Source organism: Homo sapiens, chromosome 7 (assembly GCF_000001405.40).
Source record: "Homo sapiens chromosome 7, GRCh38.p14 Primary Assembly".
In the NCBI taxonomy this organism is placed as follows: domain Eukaryota; kingdom Metazoa; phylum Chordata; class Mammalia; order Primates; family Hominidae; genus Homo; species Homo sapiens.
This window is the reverse complement of record NC_000007.14, coordinates 152137916-152161985: the sequence shown is the minus strand read 5'-3', so window position 1 is coordinate 152161985 and position 24070 is coordinate 152137916. Positions and strand designations below refer to the sequence as shown.

Sequence of the window (24070 nt, the reverse complement as noted above, 5' to 3'; positions counted from 1 at the left end):
GTCATTTCTACCTCTCTGGAACCCATGTTTTTACTTATATCTAAACTATATTAAATAATAATTTGTTTACTATTTTTTAAAAAGCAAAGGCATGTATTGCATTTCATATATAACGTGATGTGTAGCAACTGGTTATTACCACATTGAGTTGATATGACTAAAGCAAAGTAAGTAAATGTCTATGTACTTTATTGTAAATAAGTGATTAATTTCCATTAACCTCTTTAAAATGCAGAGGATAGCCCATGCACCCCTATTAATACCCTTGGCACTCTTAGGGATACCACACTGGGAAGCTATTGTGTGGTTACAGTGTTGTATTGATACTTAATGTAATGTTACATGTAGATACTGTTTTGTAGTTTTCCATGTATCAATTTTCTATCAGTTTTAAGTTATTAACATTTAATTTGCTTTTTTTTTCATTTACATGAAGAGCTAACTTGTAAATATACCTTTACAAGAATCTGTCCCCTTTATTTCAGTTAACTTCATTAAGATAGTTCCAAAACTGGAGTTTGAGTCATGGGAATTGGTCTGCTTAATAGCTCTTGCCTGTTTATCTTTCAGAAGGTGCAGTGCCATTACCAGTGCATTCATAAAGCTGTCCCTAGAGAGCTTCTCAAATTGGATTTCATTTTCATATTTTAATTAAGGGTTGAGTGGTATATTTAGTTGTCCAGTTTTTTCATTTTAAGATTGTTAATGAAGCTCATCTTTTTGCAAGTGTTGCTTTTTTTCTTGTCTTTGACCATTCAGTAGAGATTGAGTGTTGACTTGATAGATTTGTGTAATTTTTGTAAATTTTACTGGTTATGCTTTTACAGTTGTCACCAGTAAATATAGGCAACTCTCCAGCACAGTCTCCATCCACTTTCTCCAAGACATCTTATACCCTGAGGAGTACTGAATAACTTGCAGCCTTCTGTCTTTTTACCCTTCTATGTATACCACATGCTGCTGCTTCTGCCTGTTCTGTTCTCCCTTCTTATATACGTCTGGACAATATATTTTTATCTTTTGAAATGCAGTTCTTGAGTCATCTTTTTCCAGATACCTTTCTCACCTCTCCCAATCTCAAATATGTGTTGATGCTCGTGTTCTCACATAGCGATTTCTGTTGTACCACTTAACATTATTTAAATAGCTCCTTGAAGGACGTAGACTACATTTTGAGCATGTTTATATTAAAATTTGTGGGTGTAAGAATGTTTAATGGCATGGGGAACAACCACGTCAAGTTTAAAAAGTAGCCCCTCCCCCCAAATTAAAGTGTGATTTAAATAAATATATAGTGATTTAAATATATATAAATATATACATCTATATATAAATATATATATAAATATAAATATATAAATATATATATATAATTAATTTTTAGGTTCTTGCCACTCAGAGTGCAGTCCTTGGGGATCCGCAGCATCCACATCAGGTGGGAGCTTTGTAACACATGCAGAATCTCCCGCCACACACCTGCTTCTCAGAATGTAGACTTAGGAAGATCCCCAGGTGATTCCTGAGCATCTGAAGGGGAGAAGTACTGCTCTAGGCAGGTGATTCTCAAAGCTAAAGTGTGAGGAGCACCAGGAGGGCTTGTTAAACCAAGATTGCTGGGCTCCAGCCCCGGTATTTCTGATTCTGCAGGTCTGGGTGGGACCAGATAATCTGCATTTCTAGACCAGCTCTAGATGCTGCTGCCGCCCTGGAGACCCCTTGAGAGCCACAGAACTAGCCTGGAGATGAGCAGTCTAAGCCTGCTTTCGCCTCCCTCCATGAGCTAAAAATGGCTTTTACATTTTTAAATGGTTGAAAAAAAATCTAAGGAAGAGTAGTATTTTGTGACACATAAAAATTATACAAAATTCAAATTTGTCCGTGAATTTTAAAAGTTTTATTTGAACGCAGCCAAGCTCATTGATTTATGAATTGTTTATGGCTGCTTTTGAAGTACAAGGGCAGAGTTGAGTAATTATGCCAGGGGCTGTATGGCCTACAGAGGCTTACAATATTTATCATCTGGCTCTTTACATAAAAATGTTGCCATCCATGCGCTAAACTATTTAGAATATAACTGGAAACTAATTTTCAGAACCGTCAGAGATTCAATGCAGAATTCATTACAGTAAGTTCAGCTACTATAATCGTCTATAGCAGAGTACTGCTGTTAAATTTAGAAATAATGGAGCCTGAAAATATTCCTGTGTTTTAAGGTACTGATAGGACTACCCTTAAAGGCCTTTTCAGGGCTTGGCTTATTCTCACTTTGTAATGATAAAAATAAAGAAAAGGTTTATTTGTTATCATCTACGTTCTCTCCCATTGACTTTAAGTATGTGGCCATTATTTTTCAGTCAAATACGGTTGTGAACTAATTTGAAGAACCAGTGTTTTTTCTTTTTATTGTTGTCTGGTGCTATCTGTTCTCTCACCTAAGATGCATAGGCTGTAAAGCTTTTCTGGAGCCTGTGAATTGTTTCAGCACACCTCATATTTCACTAGTTCCTAAGGGGAACCAAAAATAACTCACCAAGACCACTATGCAGAGGCTCCTATAGCCATCTACAAGCATTTCCTTCCCTTCTGCAGTAAGTAAGCAGGAATAAGGGGTTCCCCAGCCCCAGGGAGGTCAGCATGAGGGGTAATGCTTTGCCAGAAAGGGCTGTGGCCTTACTAATGAGTTCTGCTCTTTCCTCAAGCTTCGCAGCTTACTGATTTCCATACTCGAGAATAACGTTTGAAGAAAAGGATGGTGTTTTTGGAAAACCAGCATTGACACCACTCTATCTTCCCTACTTATTTAATACCTTTTAGTGCCATGTTAGGATGACGCGTCATAGCTTGGCACTGCATGAACTAAAAACCAAATATGCAAATTGTTCACTTATTTTTTACCCTTTCCAATTACATTAGCAAACTTTGGGGGCTCAAATGCAAGGTGGTTTTGGATGTGGCAACCAGTTGCCAAAAACAGATGGAGGAAGTGAAACCAAGAAACAGCGAAGCAAACGGACTCAGAGGACGGGTGAGAAAGCAGCACCTCGCTCAAAGAAAAGGAAAAAGGACGAAGAGGAGAAACAAGCTATGTACTCTAGCACTGACACGTTTACCCACTTGAAACAGGTGAGGGTGAGTCATTTAGAGCAGCCTCTTTTAAAAGTCAAGGATATAGGCTGGGGGCAGTGGCTCATGCCTGTAATCCCAGCACTTTGGGAGGCTGAGGCAGGTGGATCACTTGAGGCATGAGTTCTAGATGAGCTTAGCCAACATGGCAAAACCTCATCTCTACGAAAAATACAAACATTTACTGGGCGTGGTGGTACACGCCTGTAATTCCAGCTACTTGGGAGGCTGAGGCACGAGAATTGCTTGAGCCTGGATGGCAGAGGTTGCAGTGAGCCGAGATTGTGCCACTGCACTCCAGCCTGGGTGACAGAATGAGACTGTGTCTCAAAAAAAAAAACAAAAAAAAAACAAACAATTCAAGGACACGAGAGATCAAATGCTAAAAGACATCTGGACAAGGAACCTAGTAGACTTTTTCCAAGCAGAATTGCACCGTATCCTATTGGCATCTGAAATTTACGGTAATACAAATGGATTGATAGGTGATAGTCAAGATTTTCTTATGTTCATAAGGAGTAGCCTCAGTACCAAGAAAAAAATCTGTCCTCAGTACTTTGTTGTGACTCTGAATCCAAAGAAACACATTGTGAATTCTGTTCTACACCTTTGTGGTTGTTACAGAAGGTGGGAGACAGTTGCTAACAGTGCTGTTGGTGGTACCCAGCCTCAGTTGATGCCCCAGTTTTTGCTGAGCATAGATAAGAAATATGTTTTTCTTGTTAGATGCCTGGCAGCATTCATTTAGTACAGAGCTTATTTTTAAGTCTCAAAGGTCTGTAGTCTCTCTCACTTACTCCAGCATTTTGATACTTGAAAATTTTAAGTCTCATTTTTCTGAAGCCTTATTCAACAAAGTTGCTTCGGGTCTTAGAAAGTTGAGCTACACTGAGTTCCTTTTATCATGTACATTACTCTTAAATGTGTTTTTTAATAGCAGCTCTCTCTGCTCCCTCTAATGGAACCAATCATTGGAGTGAACTTTGCGCACTTTCTTCCTTATGGCAGTGGCCAATTTAATAGTGGGAATCGACTTCTAGGAACTTTTGGCAGTGCTACCCTGGAAGGGGTTTCGGACTACTATTCTCAGTTGATCTACAAGGTATGTTTCTCTGCCAAGGTGTTGTCTTGCTTCATCTTTGGGTAACATGTCAGAATTGATAGAGCTTGTCTTATTTTTGTATTTAGTTTACATCTACTCTTCCAAGTTTTATTAAAACTTAAGTTCAGCTACAGGGTTAAAATTTTACCTGGTGAAGTATTTCTAGCATAAACATTTGAAGTTGTTTTTATAGGTAAGAATACAAATTGCAAGAAATATCTATTATGTACTTCCATGGTAGTGGAAATCCTTATTTCCTTATAACCTTTATTAACACTTAAAATGAATTCAAAAATCATTGTAAATGGTGGGGATTTAAAAAAAGTAGTAGTTTACCTTGAAAAATGAAATTAAACAATTTTAAGTATATCTAATAATTTAGGTATTAATTACAAGTAATTCCTAGACTATTGTAGGTTTTTTTTTTTTTTTTGAGACAGGGTCTCGCTCTGTCACCCAGGCCAGATTGCAGTGGTGCAATCTCAGCTCCCTGCAATCTCTGCCTCCCAAATTCAAGCAATTCTAGTGCCTCAACCTACCAAGTAGCTGGGACTACAGGCATGCACCACCACACCCTGAGGTCAAGGCTGCAGTGAGCATGATTGTGCCATTGCCCTCTACCTCTAGCTTGGGTGACAGAGCAAGTCTCTGTCTCCAAAAAGAAAAAAAAAAAACTATCTTAACTCATAAGCTGTTCTCCAACCTTATTTTATCATCCTCATGAAATTCTTTATCTTTGCAAAATTTGTAATTTGACTTTGCACTTGATTTGCATGGTGTTATTGGTAGATTCCAAGTCTCTCCTTGAGAGACTAATCAGTAAATGACAAATTGGTGATAACTGTTAAGCTGGGAGAGGTGTCTGAAGAGGAACTACATTAATGATTTAGTTACTTTAGTAGTAGCATTAGTACTGTTGCTTCTTTTAAAGGTCTTAGTCAATCCAGATTCTCATATCTCGGATGTGAGTTGTATTACAAGTTTAAGACCAGAAATTCTTAAGTTTTTCATAGAACTAGGGCATATCTTAATGAGAACTTAAAGGATATTTTGATAATATTTTGCAATTTCTTGATTGCATTTTAAAGTTATCCTTCACTAGCTATAACCACGAAACTTGAAGAATTGCATAAATAAAATCAGGTAGAAAGGAAATTAGCTTCTTAATTTCAGAGCTTAAGTAGTCAAGCTGGGTAAAGTAAGCAAGTTGGTATGTCCATAAAATCACGAGTATCTGTTCCACTAAGAAGCCTCCTGGCCTTGTAGGTATTGTTTTCTTGGTGTGCAAGATACATCTTGATTACATTTCTGTAGCCTTGCTTCTATGTGCAAAAAATTCACAGAACTACGTTTTAGCAAGGTCATTGCATATTCGCTCAGTAGCATATAATTTAAATTTTTTGGTCTCCTGCAGCAGAATAATTTAAGTAATCCTCCAACACCCCCTGCCTCTCTTCCTCCTACACCACCTCCTATGGCTTGTCAGAAGATGGCCAATGGTTTTGCAACAACTGAAGAACTTGCTGGAAAAGCCGGAGTGTTAGTGAGCCATGAAGGTATGATTATAGCCTCCAAATTTCACACCTCGGAGAAATGTGCCTCTGCCAGTTGTGTATTGTGAAATGGCAATAGAATTGTAAAGTTCTACCCATTTATCAATATTGACTGAATGTATTTATGGTTTTGTGTTTTTGCTTTTCCAGTTACCAAAACTCTAGGACCTAAACCATTTCAGCTGCCCTTCAGACCCCAGGACGACTTGTTGGCCCGAGCTCTTGCTCAGGGCCCCAAGACAGTTGATGTGCCAGCCTCCCTCCCAACACCACCTCATAACAATCAGGAAGAATTAAGGTACAGGTTATTTTTTTCTCAAATAATTCTTAGTTATTTCTTCTTTTAAAAAAAATAAATGTATGTATGTGGCATAATGTCTTTAGGAATAGCATGTAAAAACATTTGAAGAGTACAATTTGGTGAATAATCTTCAGGATTTAAAGTTTATAAGACATTGTTACCATTAAACATAATTAGTTTGCATTTTTTTAAGCCTACATCATATAGAGAGTTAAATAATCTAATAGACAGTTAAGTATTAGATTATTTAATCTAATTAAATAATCTAATAGACATGAAGGTAGTGGAAAATCTCCATGCAACATATTTCAGAAATCATTGTCCTTTAAAGGGTATTAATGTGATTTATTGGGTTTATTGTTGTTTGTAGATGTCTAAAATGAAAGAGCAGAAGTTGCTATATCAGAGAACGCCGTCGTGGAAGAGAGTTTAAGAACTGTCTGGGGTTTGATGTCTTTGTGTCAGTTCTTTAACTGTAAGATTCTAATTGGGGAGAATCAAGTTCCCTTAGTAGATGATCGCTAGCCAACTCTTTAGATCCAGAGGGTTCTTACAACTTCATCAAATAATTATCTCTTCTTTGGAAAATCTGCCCACTACCCTCTATTTGATGAGACATTTATTTAACCTAAGTCCCTTACTTTATTAATGGGGAAACTTTGGACCGAAGTGGAGAATAATCTGTCCCAATTGAGGATCCAGGTCCTCTTTCTACTGTACCTCAGTAGGCCAGCCTTTCTTGGGTCTCCTGCATGACAGCTACTTCTCTGCGTGAGGAGTGGGAGACAGCAGTTCCACAGGGTTGTGGAACTTAGTCTGAGACCTCACAATTGGCCTGGTAGACTCAAACTTGAACTCAACAGAAGGGACCAGTCTTTTGTTTTTCTCACCTCACTTTATCAGTTAAGAAAAATAAGGGCCGATCAAGTCAATGGCTAAGTTTTCTCCCATCTTGCCAGTGTAAAGAGCAGCAGTAGGACAGCTGTTTTCCCAGTCAGGTGAATGCAGGTGTGACCATTGCATATGTGTTGGACTTCTCTTTCCTTTTTTTTTTGTCTTTTTAAAGTTTTCCTTTTTTATTGTTAAATCCAACCAGCAGCTCTTTCCTTTTCAAGCTGCAGGAGTGCTGCCCTAGGCTCAACGATCTGGGATTTTGAAAAGGTGCTTTCATGCTCTCTATGTTACATGCTAATCAGAACATCTTCCTCTTTGGCAGGTCTTCAAACTTTGGTGCTGAAGCTTTCGTTAAAAGGAAACATACCATTTAAATTATTTTGTAACTAAATATTGTTCTTGTATTTTTTTCCCAGTGTGGCTCTGAGCTGATTCATTTGCTGCTCATCGTATAGGTGCTGCCCAGAGTATCCTTACAGCTGTATTCACAGATGTCAGCAGGGTTGGTACAGGAAGCCCCCAGTGGTGGATTTGCAGACTTTGATGTGTGTGTTTATGTTTTTTCAGGATACAGGATCACTGTGGTGATCGAGATACTCCTGACAGTTTTGTTCCCTCATCCTCTCCTGAGAGTGTGGTTGGGGTAGAAGTGAGCAGGTATCCAGATCTGTCATTGGTCAAGGAGGAGCCTCCAGAACCGGTGCCGTCCCCCATCATTCCAATTCTTCCTAGCACTGCTGGGAAAAGTAAGAACAACACTTAACCTTATTATTTCCCTTTACACTACGCCAATTTACTAATGTAAATATTTTGATTTTGAAAATCCATTAACACTATTTTCCTCTTTTTTTTCTCTCTTTTTAAAGGTTCAGAATCAAGAAGGAATGACATCAAAACTGAGCCAGGCACTTTATATTTTGCGTCACCTTTTGGTCCTTCCCCAAATGGTCCCAGATCAGGTCTTATATCTGTAGCAATTACTCTGCATCCTACAGCTGCTGAGGTAAAAGATTAAATGACTTCTTAATGTTAAACAGTATGTCCCCAATTTTCAAAGATGGGTCAGGTGTCTACCATAAAACACACACAAACAGGATCACTGAGGATAAAGGGTCAGAGAGCAGAGCTGATGCTCACTGCAGACCTCTCAGCTGCCTTTGAGTGCCATCGTTTGTCATTGAATTGGTCTCAGCCTACGTCAAGTAAAAAGGGAAATTAGAGCTCACATTTTCTTATTAAAGGATGTATACTTTAGAGAACTCTTTTTTTTTTTTTTTTTTTAATAGAGACACAGTCTCCTTCTGTTGCCCAGGCTGGAGTGCAGTGGCACAGTCATAGCTCACTGCAGCCTCAAACTTACTGGGCTCAAGTAATCCTTCTGCTTTAGCCTCCTCAGTAGCTGGGACTACATGTGTGAGCCATCATGTCCATCTCAGAAAAAACTTCTTTGTAACTGTTAACAGAGAAGAAAATTAAGCAATGAAAAAGAACTTTATCAACAGTAATAGTTTTGCAGAAGCAATAGAAATGTTCTTCAAGTAGCATCTGCTTATATCAAACATAAGTAATTTCCTGAGGATTTTTTATTTTTTTAACTCTGAATTCTGTGAAGACATTTCAGTAGAGACCAAACTAGAAGTCCAATGATGTGATATTTTGGTTATCAACAAAATACAGCAGTAGCAAGACCTTTGTCTGTTCTTACGGGTTGTGTCAGAGCTGGAGGGAAGCCCCTGGAAGTAAGCTTTCTGACCACCTGTAGGAACTGACGGGGTCTGTCAGATGTTACAATATCTAAAATAGTTTAATGTGTTACTAGATATTTAATGTTAATTGGAATCCCTTTATGAGGATTTCTGTTTATAAATTTCTTTTTTTGGATATTAGTTCGTTAGAGCTAATTTTTTTCCTGAGGTTCTTTAAGTCTAAATAAAATTTGTTGGATTTTCTTAGAATCTATGTATCATGCAAAGAGGATTTATCCTAAGTGTGTATTTTTCTTCAGTGGTTCACTGTTGCCTTCTGGGTGAATAATACAGCATTTGCATTTGGTTTTAGAACATTAGCAGTGTTGTGGCTGCATTTTCCGACCTTCTTCACGTCCGAATCCCTAACAGCTATGAGGTTAGCAGTGCTCCAGATGTCCCATCCATGGGTTTGGTCAGTAGCCACAGAATCAACCCGGGTTTGGAGTATCGACAGCATTTACTTCTCCGTGGGCCTCCGCCAGGATCTGCAAACCCTCCCAGATTAGTGAGCTCTTACCGGCTGAAGCAGCCTAATGTACCATTTCCTCCAACAAGCAATGGTGAGCTAGTGAGCTTTTTGTTAACCCCAAATCCATTCCTGATTCAAAAGTTAAGCTTACTCTTTGAGATACTGATTATCTTTTAACAACGGACAGGTAACATGCTGGCGTATAGTCCTTGGTGAACTTACCATGTGTGGGTGTTCTGTTTTCTGTGCTGTGATTTTGACCTCTAGTGCTTTGGCCTGTGTATTCTGTCATGCTGTCACCAGGGGCTATGTGAGTGCCAGCCATCTGTGCAGGCTGCCAGAAGAAGCCTGTGACGGGCTTGCCCTTGAGCAGCTTTTGTTCTTCCTGTCTCCCAACCCCCATCCCGCTGCACCTGGGCCACCTGGTACAGATGGGGCTGGTGACCTGACGTGGGTTCTGTTTCCTGTTCTCCTCTGCTTTCCATCCTCACCTACCTCTTGTTTTACCTCTGCACCAGCTCTATAGGGCCCTTCTCTTCCCACAGAGGTGTTCATGCCCCCCATCTCTGAGAATGGAACAACTTCCTTAGACCGACCATGATGTCGCTTTCCTTCCTGCCTCACTGGCAATCTTACAGGCGTGCTCAGTCCAGGCCCTGGCTTCCTCCTCTTGGCTTCTAGCTGTTCTGTCACTTTTTCCCTGCTCCTTTTTGCCTTCACACTGCACCTGAATGATGCTTTCTAATTCCTGAGTCCTTATTTACCTTCTTATCCTTGGCCTTGGCTCTTTCCTCATTTCTGACTCTGCAAGTCACACTTATTTAAGACTCTTATACATATGTCATTGTATCTTTCATAAAATGTTTTTTTACCATCTTAACCTGCAAGCAAAAGTAATATCTGTTTCCCTCTCTGTCTTACTTTGTACTTAGACTGAATAGTAATCTCTCTTGGTGACTTAGTTTTATTAGATTCTTCTTTTATACTGCCATTGCTTTCCCAGCTATTTGAGAATAGGCATGTTTCTTTATTTTTGCCCTAGTGTCAGATAATCGACTCTGTAACCATTGCTTAGAAGATAAATTTTTTTTATTAATTAAAGAATAATGTTAATGAACCATGTTGTAATGAGTTGATACTGCATAATTTTTCACCATGTGCCACCTTGTGTCATCAGTCAGTTTTAATTACTAACAAAAGTTGATTGCCTTTAGGTCTTTCTGGATATAAGGATTCTAGTCATGGTATTGCAGAAAGCGCAGCACTCAGACCACAGTGGTGTTGTCATTGTAAAGTGGTTATTCTTGGAAGTGGTGTGCGGAAATCTTTCAAAGATCTGACCCTTTTGAACAAGGTACTTTGCTACTCCTTTTATGACCCCACCTCCTACCTCCAGCGAAAATGTCCTTGGCAGTGTCTCTTCCAACATCAGAGAGAGACACCACTTATGGTGGTGTGATGGACACATGTTCCTGGTGATGGCACCAGCGTATATCAGATGTGCTTGGGCTGAACACCAAAGAGCTACAACAGGCTGTTAAAGGGAATATTATGAGGACTACGTATTTTTAAATAGAGTGAACCGTGGACCACATAGTTTGGTTTTATACATGTATTTTTTCCCTAGCTAAATTATCACATGCTAAATATTGGAACATAGTTTCCTTTCTACTATTAAGATAAAGAACCACTGTCACTTTTGAATATAACATAAAAATAATGTATAGATCCTGTTTTTATTAAATTTTGACTTGTTGAGATTCCCACACATTTCTCTTTGCTTTTCAGGATTCCCGAGAAAGCACCAAGAGGGTAGAGAAGGACATTGTCTTCTGTAGTAATAACTGCTTTATTCTTTATTCATCAACTGCACAAGCGAAAAACTCAGAAAACAAGGTGAGATTAGGATAATCTCAGCTGATAACAATGTGTAACGAGTGACTTCTGTGTTCTGGGCATATGGGAGTGAATAAAGATGTGTCCCTGCCTTCATGGAGCTCTGTGTGGGGAATCCAAAGCAGGTGCTGACCCGGCAGAGGAGGAGAGGGTGTAGGGAGCCTTGAGTCGTGCTACTCTTTCAACTTAGTTATTTGACAGAAGTGGGCAGAGTTATGTTTTAAAAGTTCAGTAAACAGAACACTAATATTAAAATCTTTAATTTTACCAGTTTAATTTTTTTTTGAGATGGAGTCTCATTCTGGTCCCACAGGCTGAAGGGCATTGGCACCTCTTGGCTCACTGCAGACTCTGCCTCCCAATTCAAGCAATTCTCCTGCCTTAGCCTCCTGAGTAGCTGGGATTACAGGTGCGTGCCACCACGCCCAGCTAATTTTTGTAGTTTAGTAGAGATGGGGTTTCACCATGTTGGCCAGGCTGGTCTCAAACTCCTGACCTCGTGATCCGCCCACCTCAGCCTCTCAAAGTGCTGGGATTACAGGTGTGAGCCACTGCGCCCGGCCGTAAATATCTTAATATTTTAAAATCATTTTTATTGATGTTACCCCAATAGGAAAACCTGTTTAAAGATAAAATTTAAGACTATTTGTGCATTTTAAGAGAAAACACTTTGCTCACAGTATGGTGAAAGAGGTCTGCTTTACTTGATTTTATGTAATTTGAGTGTGTCCAACTAATGGTTGATACAAATGATATGTTTATAATCATGTTTTGAAGGAAGCTTTTCCTGTACAGTAATACTGCCAGTCATTCCTCCATCCAGGTTATTGCTCTGGTATGTCTTTCACAGAAGAACATTCTGAAGACTTATTTTTAACAGGTAGTTGTTTGTAGTATGCCTGTAATAAAATCTAGGCTAGATGACAAATAAATTTAGATCTTAAAATACATCAGCCTAAATGCAAGAAGGATTTTTTTTTTCACCAGATAGTTTAAGTTGGTGTGCAGTCCCTGCCTGATTTGGTATAAGGCATGTCTTTTTTCAGATACCTTGTCAGGATTGGGGCATGTGAAAAGAGGGCAGCCTGTGGGTTGGTGTTTATTAGTTTATGATACTCTGTACCATAAAGTAAATAAGCTATTGGAGATTTCCCCTCAGCTCAACTGTTTCAGCAGCCGGATCAGAGCTGAGAAGCCTCAGAGAAAAGTTAGTATGATTCATTTGTTGACAGGGGCTCCTTCCCTTTCTGTAACATTTACACCAATTGATTAAGGCTGAGATTAACAGATGTGAATTTTAGAGTGGAGATAAGCTCTCAAGAAACGATGCTGCAGCGTTCTTATTTGGTTAAACAAAAAACACTGTTCCATTGTACAAATTATATTAGCTCTTCTGACAGCATTGTGAGTGTGTGTGTGTTTTTTCTTTTTCTGGTTTTAATATAGTTAGAAAGGGGATTGTCCCAGAAAGTGTAAGAGCAGAATATTCTCCAGAATTATGGCTTTGTGGAAAAGGCCTCGAAAGGACGCGGCACAGCTGCCATCACCCGCTCTCTATCCCTGTGCACCTTAGAGCATGGTCAGCTTCTGCGGTGCATGAGCCCCCAGCACTTACTGCTGACTCTCCCTCTGCCCCTCAGGTCACCCATCCTCTTCAGTCATACTGCTCAGCTTCTTGTCTTAACAAGAATTGCTTTCCGGGCTTGTGAATTATTTTTCTTTGTCATGGTTTCTTTATGTTGCCCAGGAATCCATTCCTTCATTGCCACAATCACCTATGAGAGAAACGCCTTCCAAAGCATTTCATCAGTACAGCAACAACATCTCCACTTTGGATGTGCACTGTCTCCCCCAGCTCCCAGAGAAAGCTTCTCCCCCTGCCTCACCACCCATCGCCTTCCCTCCTGCTTTTGAAGCAGCCCAAGTCGAGGCCAAGCCAGATGAGCTGAAGGTGACAGTCAAGCTGAAGCCTCGGCTAAGAGCTGTCCATGGTGGGTTTGAAGATTGCAGGCCGCTCAATAAAAAATGGAGAGGAATGAAATGGAAGAAGTGGAGCATTCATATTGTAATCCCTAAGGGGACATTTAAACCACCTTGTGAGGATGAAATAGATGAATTTCTAAAGAAATTGGGCACTTCCCTTAAACCTGATCCTGTGCCCAAAGACTATCGGAAATGTTGCTTTTGTCATGAAGAAGGTGATGGATTGACAGATGGACCAGCAAGGCTACTCAACCTTGACTTGGATCTGTGGGTCCACTTGAACTGCGCTCTGTGGTCCACGGAGGTCTATGAGACTCAGGCTGGTGCCTTAATAAATGTGGAGCTAGCTCTGAGGAGAGGCCTACAAATGAAATGTGTCTTCTGTCACAAGACGGGTGCCACTAGTGGATGCCACAGATTTCGATGCACCAACATTTATCACTTCACTTGCGCCATTAAAGCACAATGCATGTTTTTTAAGGACAAAACTATGCTTTGCCCCATGCACAAACCAAAGGGAATTCATGAGCAAGAATTAAGTTACTTTGCAGTCTTCAGGAGGGTCTATGTTCAGCGTGATGAGGTGCGACAGATTGCTAGCATCGTGCAACGAGGAGAACGGGACCATACCTTTCGCGTGGGTAGCCTCATCTTCCACACAATTGGTCAGCTGCTTCCACAGCAGATGCAAGCATTCCATTCTCCTAAAGCACTCTTCCCTGTGGGCTATGAAGCCAGCCGGCTGTACTGGAGCACTCGCTATGCCAATAGGCGCTGCCGCTACCTGTGCTCCATTGAGGAGAAGGATGGGCGCCCAGTGTTTGTCATCAGGATTGTGGAACAAGGCCATGAAGACCTGGTTCTAAGTGACATCTCACCTAAAGGTAACGTCTGCCGTTCACATGCTGTGCAGTGCTACTTACTCTGATGTCAGGCTAATGAATGTATTTTGTCAATTTTCCATGTTTGTCTCATGTTAGTTTTATATTTTATAATGTGTATTTTTCATTTACAAATGCCAATGTTTGTGTTCTCACACCTTGCTCTCTTTGCTATACAGTTGTCTAAACACTTTCATAATCAATATATCTTTGAACATACGAGTTGGTGAGGTAAATCCGAGAATGATTTGTAGATAAAGGTTGCCTGTCATTTGCATTGGGGACCTCCTTTTTCTTTTTCTTTTTCTTTTTTTTTTTTTTTTTTTTTGAGACGGAGTTTCTCTTTTGTTGCACAGGCTGGACTGCAATGGCGCGATCTCAGTTCCCTGCAACCTCCGCCTCCTGGGTTCAAGTGATTCTCCTGCCTCAGCCTCCCGAGTAGCTGGGATTACAGGCTTGCGCTACCATGCCCGGCTAATTTTTATATTTTTAGTAGTTTTTAATTTTGTATTTTTAGTATTTTAGGGTTTCAGCATGTTGGCCAGGCTGGGCTCAAACTCCTGACCTCAGGTGATCCACCTGCCTCAGCCACCCAAAGTGCTGGGATTACAGGTGTGAGCCACCGTACCTGGCAGGGACCCCCTTTTTCTTAAAGTCAGTTTCTAGAAGGCAGGAATGACATCTAAATCATACTGTATACATTGTCATAAGACAATGTATAGGAACATCAGATATTACGTAAGTTTAGAGATGGAAATTAAACACTTAGTTTGGACCTCCATGGTTAAGTCTAGATTGTCACTTTTGCTTATGTAGAAAGTACACAAACAAAAGTATGTGGAGCTGCTTTCTTAAGTTTAGCACTTAAAAAAAAAAAGTCTGAAAATACTCTAAAGATAATTCCAAAGAAAATATCAATTTAACATTTTAATTTAAATCTGAGGGGAAAGGAACATAGCTATAGACATTACCAATTAGACTAATCATTTTAAAATCTGGTATGTTATATGGCCACTATGAAAGTAAATGAACTGTTTGCATGAATTTCAGTTACATTAAGTTTTTTCACTTTAATGTCCTTAATCTATTATTTTCCCCAAAATTTAGGTCTTTAAAAAAAATTGCTGCCATTTAATAAACAGGTTCATTAGATTATTACCAAACAGATTTATTAGATTATTGCCCAACAGGATTTATTTGGAAATTAGTAAATCCTTGTGAGTGGTTATTCTTCATTTTGCTCTTGTTTTTTATACTGTATCCTATTTCCTATAAAAATTATGTTTTTGTCCCTGTGTAGGTGTCTGGGATAAGATTTTGGAGCCTGTGGCATGTGTGAGAAAAAAGTCTGAAATGCTCCAGCTTTTCCCAGCGTATTTAAAAGGAGAGGATCTGTTTGGCCTGACCGTCTCTGCAGTGGCACGCATAGCGGAATCAGTGAGTGTCTTGGTCAGGCTTTGAGATTGGAATTGCTTTCCTGATTCAGTGTGACCACTTGAACACATGCTGTAACATTTGTGGCACTCTTCAGAAAGTGACTGAGCCTGTGCATTAACCCGTTTCTCTTAGAGGAATAAGGCATTGGTGATTAATCGGGAGAGCTCAGCCGTGTTGGTATTCACCCAGTTGAGGTAGTTAACCAACTTCAGGTTCTCTTCCAGGCTGGAGGCAAGCAGGGGTGAAGGACACCAGGCTTGTCACATCTTCTGGGTGTGCTGGATGGGTGAGGACACTCTCCTCTTCCCTTGCCTTTCTGAAGTTTCTCCCACCTCAGAATGTCAGTGTGCCCATTTCCTGACACTTGGGTATTTATGGCCACTCTCCTGCCCTCTTCCTAGGATGAAGTCACTAGAGGGCAGTAGATCGCAGCAGCACTGATTTCTGTCCTCTCTTGACATTTCTTTGCTTAAAAGATTACAAGCCTGTTTGTCAGTGAGTCTAACTGAACCATATCTACACAATAGTTTTAGAAAATTGTATGATTCTAAGGCATTGTTTTCAAGAATAAAAATATCATTGGTGTGTTTTCTTTGGACAGGCAGAGGAAACCCCAAAAGCCACTGAGTAATGTGCCTAATTGTTTTCTTTGGAATCGCCCTGCCTAAATGATACTTATCTTTTATGACTACAGAGAAATAAATTTCACAAGCAATGTATTCCAGAAAAGACCTTTAACATGTAAATGACTTTGAGTAAAGCTTGAGTTAACACCTATGCTTTATGCTCCCAGGACATGGAGAGCGATAACCTCATCACATCAGAGTCAAATTGAAAGGAGTGAGAAACGATCAAGAAAGAAACCATATAGATGATTTTTTAACTGTTTTTAATTGTAAAATTCCAGACAGAGATATAAAAGTTGGCATTAATACAGGGGAAAGAACTCAATGCGAATCATTACATGCCCTGTGTTTGTGGGTATTGTGTGTTTCAGTCAGGCCCTGAAATCACACAAGCGTGTATATTGGTCAGCCAGTGTTTGTTGCATGGGCTAATCTTTTTCTTCAAGGAGCATTTGGCAGGGTTTACCTAAGTTTGGCTTTGAAACTGAATTTGCATACTCATATTTAAGTAGATCTACCTGCAGGCCAATAGTGTTAACATAAGCTAGAAGACCATTTTATTATCGGGGAAAACGCTGATGAGTTATTTCTGTCGTGGGCCATCCTTTGACCAGCTTGAGATTGTCTGTAGTCTCCATCAGATGGGGTGACTTTGTGTCTGCTTTGCTTCTTTTCAGCTTCCTGGGGTTGAGGCATGTGAAAATTATACCTTCCGATACGGCCGAAATCCTCTCATGGAACTTCCTCTTGCCGTTAACCCCACAGGTTGTGCCCGTTCTGAACCTAAAATGAGTGCCCATGTCAAGAGGTTTGTGTTAAGGTATTTTGTTTTAACTTCACATAGTACAGCCCAGGGTTTCTAGGCGTATTAGTGGTTTCCTGTGCTTGATTTGTCTGCTGCTTACAAACCCTGCTGTCTGGCTGTGTATGTGCCCAACTACATAAGAGAACTCGCCGTGTGTCTCTGCTAGGCAGCTTTCCATGTATGTTTCTGTCAGTAAGAATCTGAATTAACCTGGTTTTGGGCATTACTCAGAGGTATCTTCAGTTTTCCTTGTATTTTTTTCCTGTTGATATGCCATTGTCTGCAGGCCTCACACCTTAAACAGCACCAGCACCTCAAAGTCATTTCAGAGCACAGTCACTGGAGAACTGAACGCACCTTATAGTAAACAGTTTGTTCACTCCAAGTCATCGCAGTACCGGAAGATGAAAACTGAATGGAAATCCAATGTGTATCTGGCACGGTCTCGGATTCAGGTGAAGAAATACTTTGTGTACAGGAAGTGGAGAGACAGGGTGGAGTCTAGCAATCTGAAGCTATTGATGTCCAGTATGTGAAAATGATTTCACATAGCTGCAGGGACAGAAACGTGTTTTCAAAATCGTATCAAATCCTGTCCCTTGGTAACACTAGGGATTTAATATGTAGTCTTGGGACTTGGTGATTGGCTTCCCCAAAGGGAAAGCAGACCAGTGGAATCCACATCTTTGCATCTTGTTGAGAGCTCCTGGGAGGCAGGTAGCATTGTAATTTGCACACACTGGATTTGTGGAGTGCTCAGTAGAGCTGTTTCAAGCACTTGAGAGAAATACAAATGAAAATATTTTCCAAAGGTACACCAATTTTGGAAGTTACCTTATCTTTTGGAAGCTACCGTTTCATGAAATCAGTGCATGTTTTTTGGTAGACTGTGGACTATCTTACAAGTAAGGCCGTGTATAGGCTAAGCATTTAAGTTTACACCTATAGTCCATACTTCCTGAGCTGCAGACCCAAATATCCAAATGCCTGTTCAGCATTTTTCTCCTTGGATGTCTCAGAATGGAATTACAAAGCTCTTACTTTGTCAAACTTGTCCAGCTCCTAAACCCCGCCATCCTACAAGCTCCTTGCTGAGTGATGTTACCGTTTGTGTACATTGGCCTCAGTACTGCCAGATTAAACCTAAAGCATCATCGAGTTCTGTTTTCTCCTAAAAATTCTCTCAGATCCACTCTTAGGTTTACCAGCCCTATCTTGAGCCACATATCACTTGCCTGTACCACTGCAGGCCTGGCTGTCTCCTCCCATCCAGTTCCCTCTCAGCAGCCAGCAAAGTATCTTTACCCTATAAACTGGATCAGCGTTCCTTTGTCTATACTCATTCAGATTCTTGTTCCTTTGTTGGAACCCTTTTACTCCTCACTAGAAGTTTGTAGGATCTTCTCTTTATTGATATTTGGACATTTCACAGAACTACACCTCAGTGGAGGTCTTTTTGTTGATTGCTTTCCTCCCTTGATGAGCCCTTTCAACCTGGAGCATCGTGACCTTCCGTCTGAGAAATGTGTTTTGTATTCATTCTTTTGCAAGTTCTGCCCCTCTGTTTCCTCTGTGTTTGCACTAAAACCCCTGAGATTCAGGATCTCACAGTGTGGACCTGAGACTAGAAGCAGCAGTGTCACCTGGGAGCTTGTTAGGATGTGCAGGTTCGGGGGCCCCAGCCCAGCCTCACTGAATCCAGCTCTGGAGGTGGGGCCTCCTGGATGATTCTCATGCATGTCAGAGAGTAATTTCTGTCTTATATCCTTTCTCCCCTTCTGTTCTTTGTTTCCTTGTCTCTCTGTTCTTTCTGAGACTTCCTCTACTTTATCTGCTAATCTTTCTTGTCTATTTTTAGAGATTAGCTACGAGCCCTTTCTGCTCTTGATCTTGTTTGATATTTTGTTTTTACATTATGAGTGGAGTATCTGTGTTTTCTCTGCTGTTGCCCCTCTCTGTTGAGCCTCTCTCGGATTCTGTGGGTGAATTAGTGCTTTGCCTCTACTCCTTCCAGTTCTAGCTTTCCCCTGCTAAGTCAATTACTTTTCATTTTAAATAGTCCATTCACTCTTATACCCATTCGTGTTCTCGAGGAGTGTGCTTTTACTGTGATTTTAGTGGGTATCTTAACTGTGTTCAACCTGTCACCTTTAACCTGAAGCATTTTTGAGAGCTCTGGTTTCTGTCTCTTTACTTATTTCATCCTGCCACCCTCCCATCTGTCCACCTCCCTGGGGATCCCGTGGATGATCTAATATGTATCCTGTTTTTCTGTGCTAATATCTTAGAACTATATACACTTTTATGTACATATATAAAAATGGAATCATGTTATATTTATTTTTCTCCGTCTTCCTTTTCTCTGTAATAATCAGAGGTCCCTCTCGATCAACTGACGTAGCTTCATTTCATTCTTTTGAATGGTTACCTGATGTTCCATAGTGTTGATGAACTGCAGTTAAACCATTGCATTACTGATGAGTGTGTATTTGATTTATAATTTTTCTCATAACAAACAGTGTTGCTATATCTTGTACAAATATCACAATGAATTAATAGTTTCACTCCTATGGGGTATATTCCCAAACGTGAGGTTTCTGTGTAAAAGCGTGTGTACTTTTCATTTAAATAGATATTGCCAGTTTTCTAAAAAGTCTCTTACTGCACACTTCTTCCTGCAGCATGTGAGACTGTTTTCTTGTTTCCCATTTGTAGCTGGTGTTACTATTTTTTTGTTTAGTTGGTCTGATAAATATAGACTGATGTTACCTTAATTGAATAGGCAGCTTTTCATGTCCGCCATTTGGATTTGCTTTCATAGGAATTGCGTATTCATATCCTTTGTCCATTTTTCAATTTTTAGCAGTTTACACTATTCAGAATTTTCCCCTACAAAATATCCTTTGCCTACCAGCAAGTGTGACATCTTTTTTCTTGTAAAAGTTACTGTTTATATAAACAAACATACATAATTTTCTGTTGCATCTAGTCTTGGTCAAGACCCTAGATTATATACGGATTCTAGAGGTTTTCTTGCATAACATTTTTAAAATACAATTTCGCTTTCTTCCATTGGATAACCAGTTGTTGAAGGGCCATTTAGAAGTAACCCACTCATTTTTAACTGATTTTCTTTCTTCTTCTTTGAGACAGGGTCTCACTGTGTCGCCCAGGCTGGAGTGCGGTGGCACAATCTCAGCTCACTGCAGCTTCGATCTCCTGGGCTCAAGCGATCCTCTTACCTCAGCCTCCTGAGTAGCCAGGGCTACAGGCGCATGCCACAATACTTGGCTAATTTTTAAAAATATTTATTTAGAGATGAGGTTTTGCCATGTTGTCCAGGCTGGTCTTGAACTTCTGAACTCAAGCAATTCACCTGCCTCGGCCTCCCAAAGTGCTGGGATTACAGGCATGAGCCCCCGTGGCTGGCATGAATTTTTTTTTTTTTTTTTTTTGAGACAGAGTCTTCCTCTGTCACCCAGGCTGGAGTGCAGTGGCACGATCTCGGCTCACTGCAACCTCTGCCTCCCAGGTTCAAGCGATTCTTCTGCCTCAGCCTCCCAAGTAACTGGGACTACAGGTGTGTACTACCATGCCCGGCTAATTTTTTTTTTTTTTTTAAGTAGAGATGGGATTTCACCATATTGGCCAGGCTGGTCCTCAAACTCCTGACCTTGTGACCCGCCCACCTCTGCCTCCCAAAGTGCTGGTATTACAGGTGTGAGCCACCGCACCTGGCCTTTTTCTTCTAACCCCACGAAATCTTGACTATAAACTGAATTTTAATACCAGTTACTACTGTACGTTAGATTTTCATACATGCAGGGATCTATTTCTCTTTTCTGAGATGGAGTCTCACTCTGTCACCCAGACTGGAGTGCAGTGGTGCCATCTTGGCTCCCAGATTAAAGCGATTCTCATGCCTCAGCCTCTGGAGTCTCACTCTGTTGCCCAGGCTGGAGTGCAGTGGCATGATCTCAGCTCACTGCAACCTCTGCCTCTGGGGCTCAAGCAATTCTCTTGGCTCAGCCTCCCTAGTAGCTGGAATTACAGGCACACGCCACCATGCCCAGCTAATTTTTGTATTTTTAGTAGAGACGGGGTTTCACCATGTTGGCCAGGCTGGTCTTGAACTCCTGACCTCAAGGGATCTGCCTGCCTTGGCTTCCCAAAGTGGTGGGATTATAGGCATGAGTCACCACGCCTGGCCCATTTGGAATCTCTTCATTTCCACTGATCTTGTTTATTCTTAAACCACACTCTATTGATCTCCATACATACTTTTTGTGTGTTCTGGTTCATTCACTTGTGAGTTGTATCTGGAGTAGAACAGATAATCAAAGATGCTTGTTCAGAGGATAAATCAGTTCACATACTAAAGTCTCTCACATGGCCCTTCCCACCATGTGCTCCCGGATGTGCTTCATGAGGATGCAGCTGGGGCAGCACATGGTCCTCCTAGTAATTCCGACTAGAATGCAGTTGATTTCTGCATTCTAGAATTCAGTTCAATTCTAGAATTGCATTCTAGTCTAGTACTTCTGATTCAGTTGCATCTAGTCTAGTACTTTTGCATTCAGTTGCCTTCTAGTCAGAATTAAGTGCAAAAACCCAAAATTGGGACAAGAAAATACAACTATTTATGGCAAAGACCCATATTTTGTTAGTATGTTTCTCTACAAGTTGTGCTACCAACCTGAATAGTGCACCTGGCAGGCCACCAGCACGGGAGTACAAGCTGCGCAGTGAGAGCTGCTTCCATTTCAGCCCGTTCAAACTTCTTTCCCAGCCTCAGAATTTTGTATTAGTGAAAAATTTACCTTCCCCAAGAGCTTCATTTGTTTCCAACATTCCTGATATTTACAGCAGAGTGACGTTTCCTGTGTCTGCTCTTTGCCCTGGCTGCTGGGAAACTCAGAGCCAAGTCTGAACCCTGTTTACAGTATCAGTGATTGGTTATAGTTAGCCTGATTTCTATGTTATTGAATTTATTATGTCTTTTTTGAAATAGTATTGGGGTAAAATAAACACCACAAGTCAATAAGCTTATTTAGTTGGTGGGAACTCAGCTATCTCATCTGGAAGGTTAGATAGCCTAATACATAAGACAGCCAAGCCACAGTACTACTTTATACATAGACTCTAAGAATTTAGTGCTAAAAAAGATGTAGGAATAAGCTAGTGATGGCATAGTTTTAAGTAGTAAAAATGTCCAATTTTTAAAATTTCAGAAAATAGCATATTCAAAAATGATTTGAGTTCAAGTGAAACTTAAGTATGGCTTCTAATAAGACCCGAGGGTGAAACCTTTGTATGAAAAACAGAAAAAAGACTTGTTGTCACATAAATTGGAAGTATGTACACACTTTTTTTTAGGGGCTGGGCCTGTATGCTGCTCGAGACATTGAGAAACACACCATGGTCATTGAGTACATCGGGACTATCATTCGAAACGAAGTAGCCAACAGGAAAGAGAAGCTTTATGAGTCTCAGGTAGGTGTCTGGTCCCCGAGATTGTATACACAGCACCATCATCCTCTCCCTTTCTCCGTGCCAGCCAGACACCCTGGAAGGCAGAATGAAATCTGTCATGCTGCATTCAGCTTTAAACAAAAGCCATATCTGTATATTAGTGTATTTTTATCAGTTGTATCTCTTTCAATTGGTGTTACAGTTTACTTTGATAGACAACTGTAAATTAATGAGCCTGGCTTCACACACAACCTACTGATTCCATGCTTTCCATTCGTGCCATGTAAATGTCATCTGTGCCTAATAGAATATCCACAGTAAGGATGATCAGGCTGCCGTTCCGTTCAGTTTCGACTGAGTCCTCCTGGTGTGGATAGGAACACAGAGGGGAGTTTCAGGTCGACATTGATGACTTACTGACTGACTTTTCCCTCAGAACCGTGGTGTGTACATGTTCCGCATGGATAACGACCATGTGATTGACGCGACGCTCACAGGAGGGCCCGCAAGGTGAGACAGCGAGGAACCTGACGGGGAGTGCTTTTGCTTGTGGGGCCAGTGCTGGTGGAGAGAACACTGAAGCCAAGGGAAAGGCTCTCACGGCAGCCTGGCGGTGACTAAACATTCAGAGCAAATGAGTTGAGAATTTTTATTTAAATGTTATATTTGTGCTTCTAACAATGGGCAAATAGAAATTTAATTAGCAAAAACTGCTTTATCAATAAATGGGAAGTTTTTAAAGCTGCTTCTAGCTGTTTTACAATACAGTTTTCTGACATGGTGGCTTGCAGGTATATCAACCATTCGTGTGCACCTAATTGTGTGGCTGAAGTGGTGACTTTTGAGAGAGGACACAAAATTATCATCAGCTCCAGTCGGAGAATCCAGAAAGGAGAAGAGGTAAGAGTGTGAGAGATTGCATCTGCCATGTTGTTCAGATCCTGGGCGAATAGTTCCCTCCTCACACAGGTCACTTACTCACTTGTTTCCCAATTCTTTGTTGTGATAAAAACTCTGTCCATAATAGGCCAGATGTTCCCACCCTGCAGTATCTCACCCTTCAGGCACTCCAGTTCACCTTCCTCCACATGGCAGCTCTGTGAGCATTTGCTGTCACCTCTCCCTTCCCTTCTGTGCCACGGGTTCAGCATCCCCATGGCACCCAGGTGGTATCATTTCTGTGTGCCATAGGATCCTTCTTTATCCCCTTAACCTGGACACAGTTTGGCAGTGTCCCCTCTGAAGAGCATCCCCGTCCTTCTCCAAGGGGGCCGTGGCTCCTGAGATGGCACTGTTGGGCTGTGGGCGGCAAATCTGGGCCGCCGTGCTGCTGAGGATTGTGTGCTCACGCTGGCGATCAGTGTGTGCTTAACCAAGTGCCCACATCGCCACATTCTTCAGCAGTTCAGGTGTGGGTTGTTGTCTTCAAAATGCCGAGTGCCAAGCTTGCTGTTTGTCTCCGTGCTCTCAGAGGTGACTCTGGTCCGGCGGCTCACCCATTGGGATTATTTTTGGCCTTAATTGCTGCATTTGCTTCCCACCTTGGTCTTTCCCACTGTGATTCAGGTACCTTGGTTCTGGAATTGGCATTTCCTGGAAAGCTGTCACTGAGCAGCAGGCTTGGTTTCTGTAGGAAACGTCCCGCATTTGGGGAGTGAGGCACCTGAGTGACTTGACTTTGTTGGTGCTCCTCTCCCTTCGTGAACATAGCCATGGGATTCGTGGGATTCTATCTGTATTTTGGGTCTTTGTGGAATCTCCTTTCTTAGTCAAGAATAAG

At 41.0% G+C, this 24070-nt stretch overlaps 1 protein-coding gene across 1 annotated transcript in view, besides 1 other annotated feature; it reads left to right on the top strand.

The window, feature by feature from the left end:
- The window catches only part of KMT2C (lysine methyltransferase 2C), a 301079-nt gene that overhangs the window by 274018 nt on the left and 2991 nt on the right, over window positions 1-24070 (top strand). The window contains exons 44-58 of the mRNA NM_170606.3: window positions 2914-3123; window positions 5640-5781; window positions 5929-6076; window positions 7541-7719; window positions 7840-7976; window positions 9032-9281; window positions 10405-10544; window positions 10979-11086; window positions 12834-13953; window positions 15251-15387; window positions 16691-16833; window positions 17105-17273; window positions 22195-22311; window positions 22727-22800; window positions 23082-23190. Coding sequence (NP_733751.2) covers window positions 2914-3123; window positions 5640-5781; window positions 5929-6076; window positions 7541-7719; window positions 7840-7976; window positions 9032-9281; window positions 10405-10544; window positions 10979-11086; window positions 12834-13953; window positions 15251-15387; window positions 16691-16833; window positions 17105-17273; window positions 22195-22311; window positions 22727-22800; window positions 23082-23190 — 3183 coding nt within the window. The remainder of the gene's footprint in view (window positions 1-2913; window positions 3124-5639; window positions 5782-5928; window positions 6077-7540; window positions 7720-7839; window positions 7977-9031; window positions 9282-10404; window positions 10545-10978; window positions 11087-12833; window positions 13954-15250; window positions 15388-16690; window positions 16834-17104; window positions 17274-22194; window positions 22312-22726; window positions 22801-23081; window positions 23191-24070) is intronic.
- Window positions 2965-3024: an enhancer, noted in NCBI's record as "active region_26876". NCBI's record gives its function as "activates an Ori minimal core promoter by ATAC-STARR-seq in GM12878 lymphoblastoid cells {active_cell/tissue: GM12878}" and the evidence as "EXISTENCE:reporter gene assay evidence [ECO:0000049][PMID:35858748]".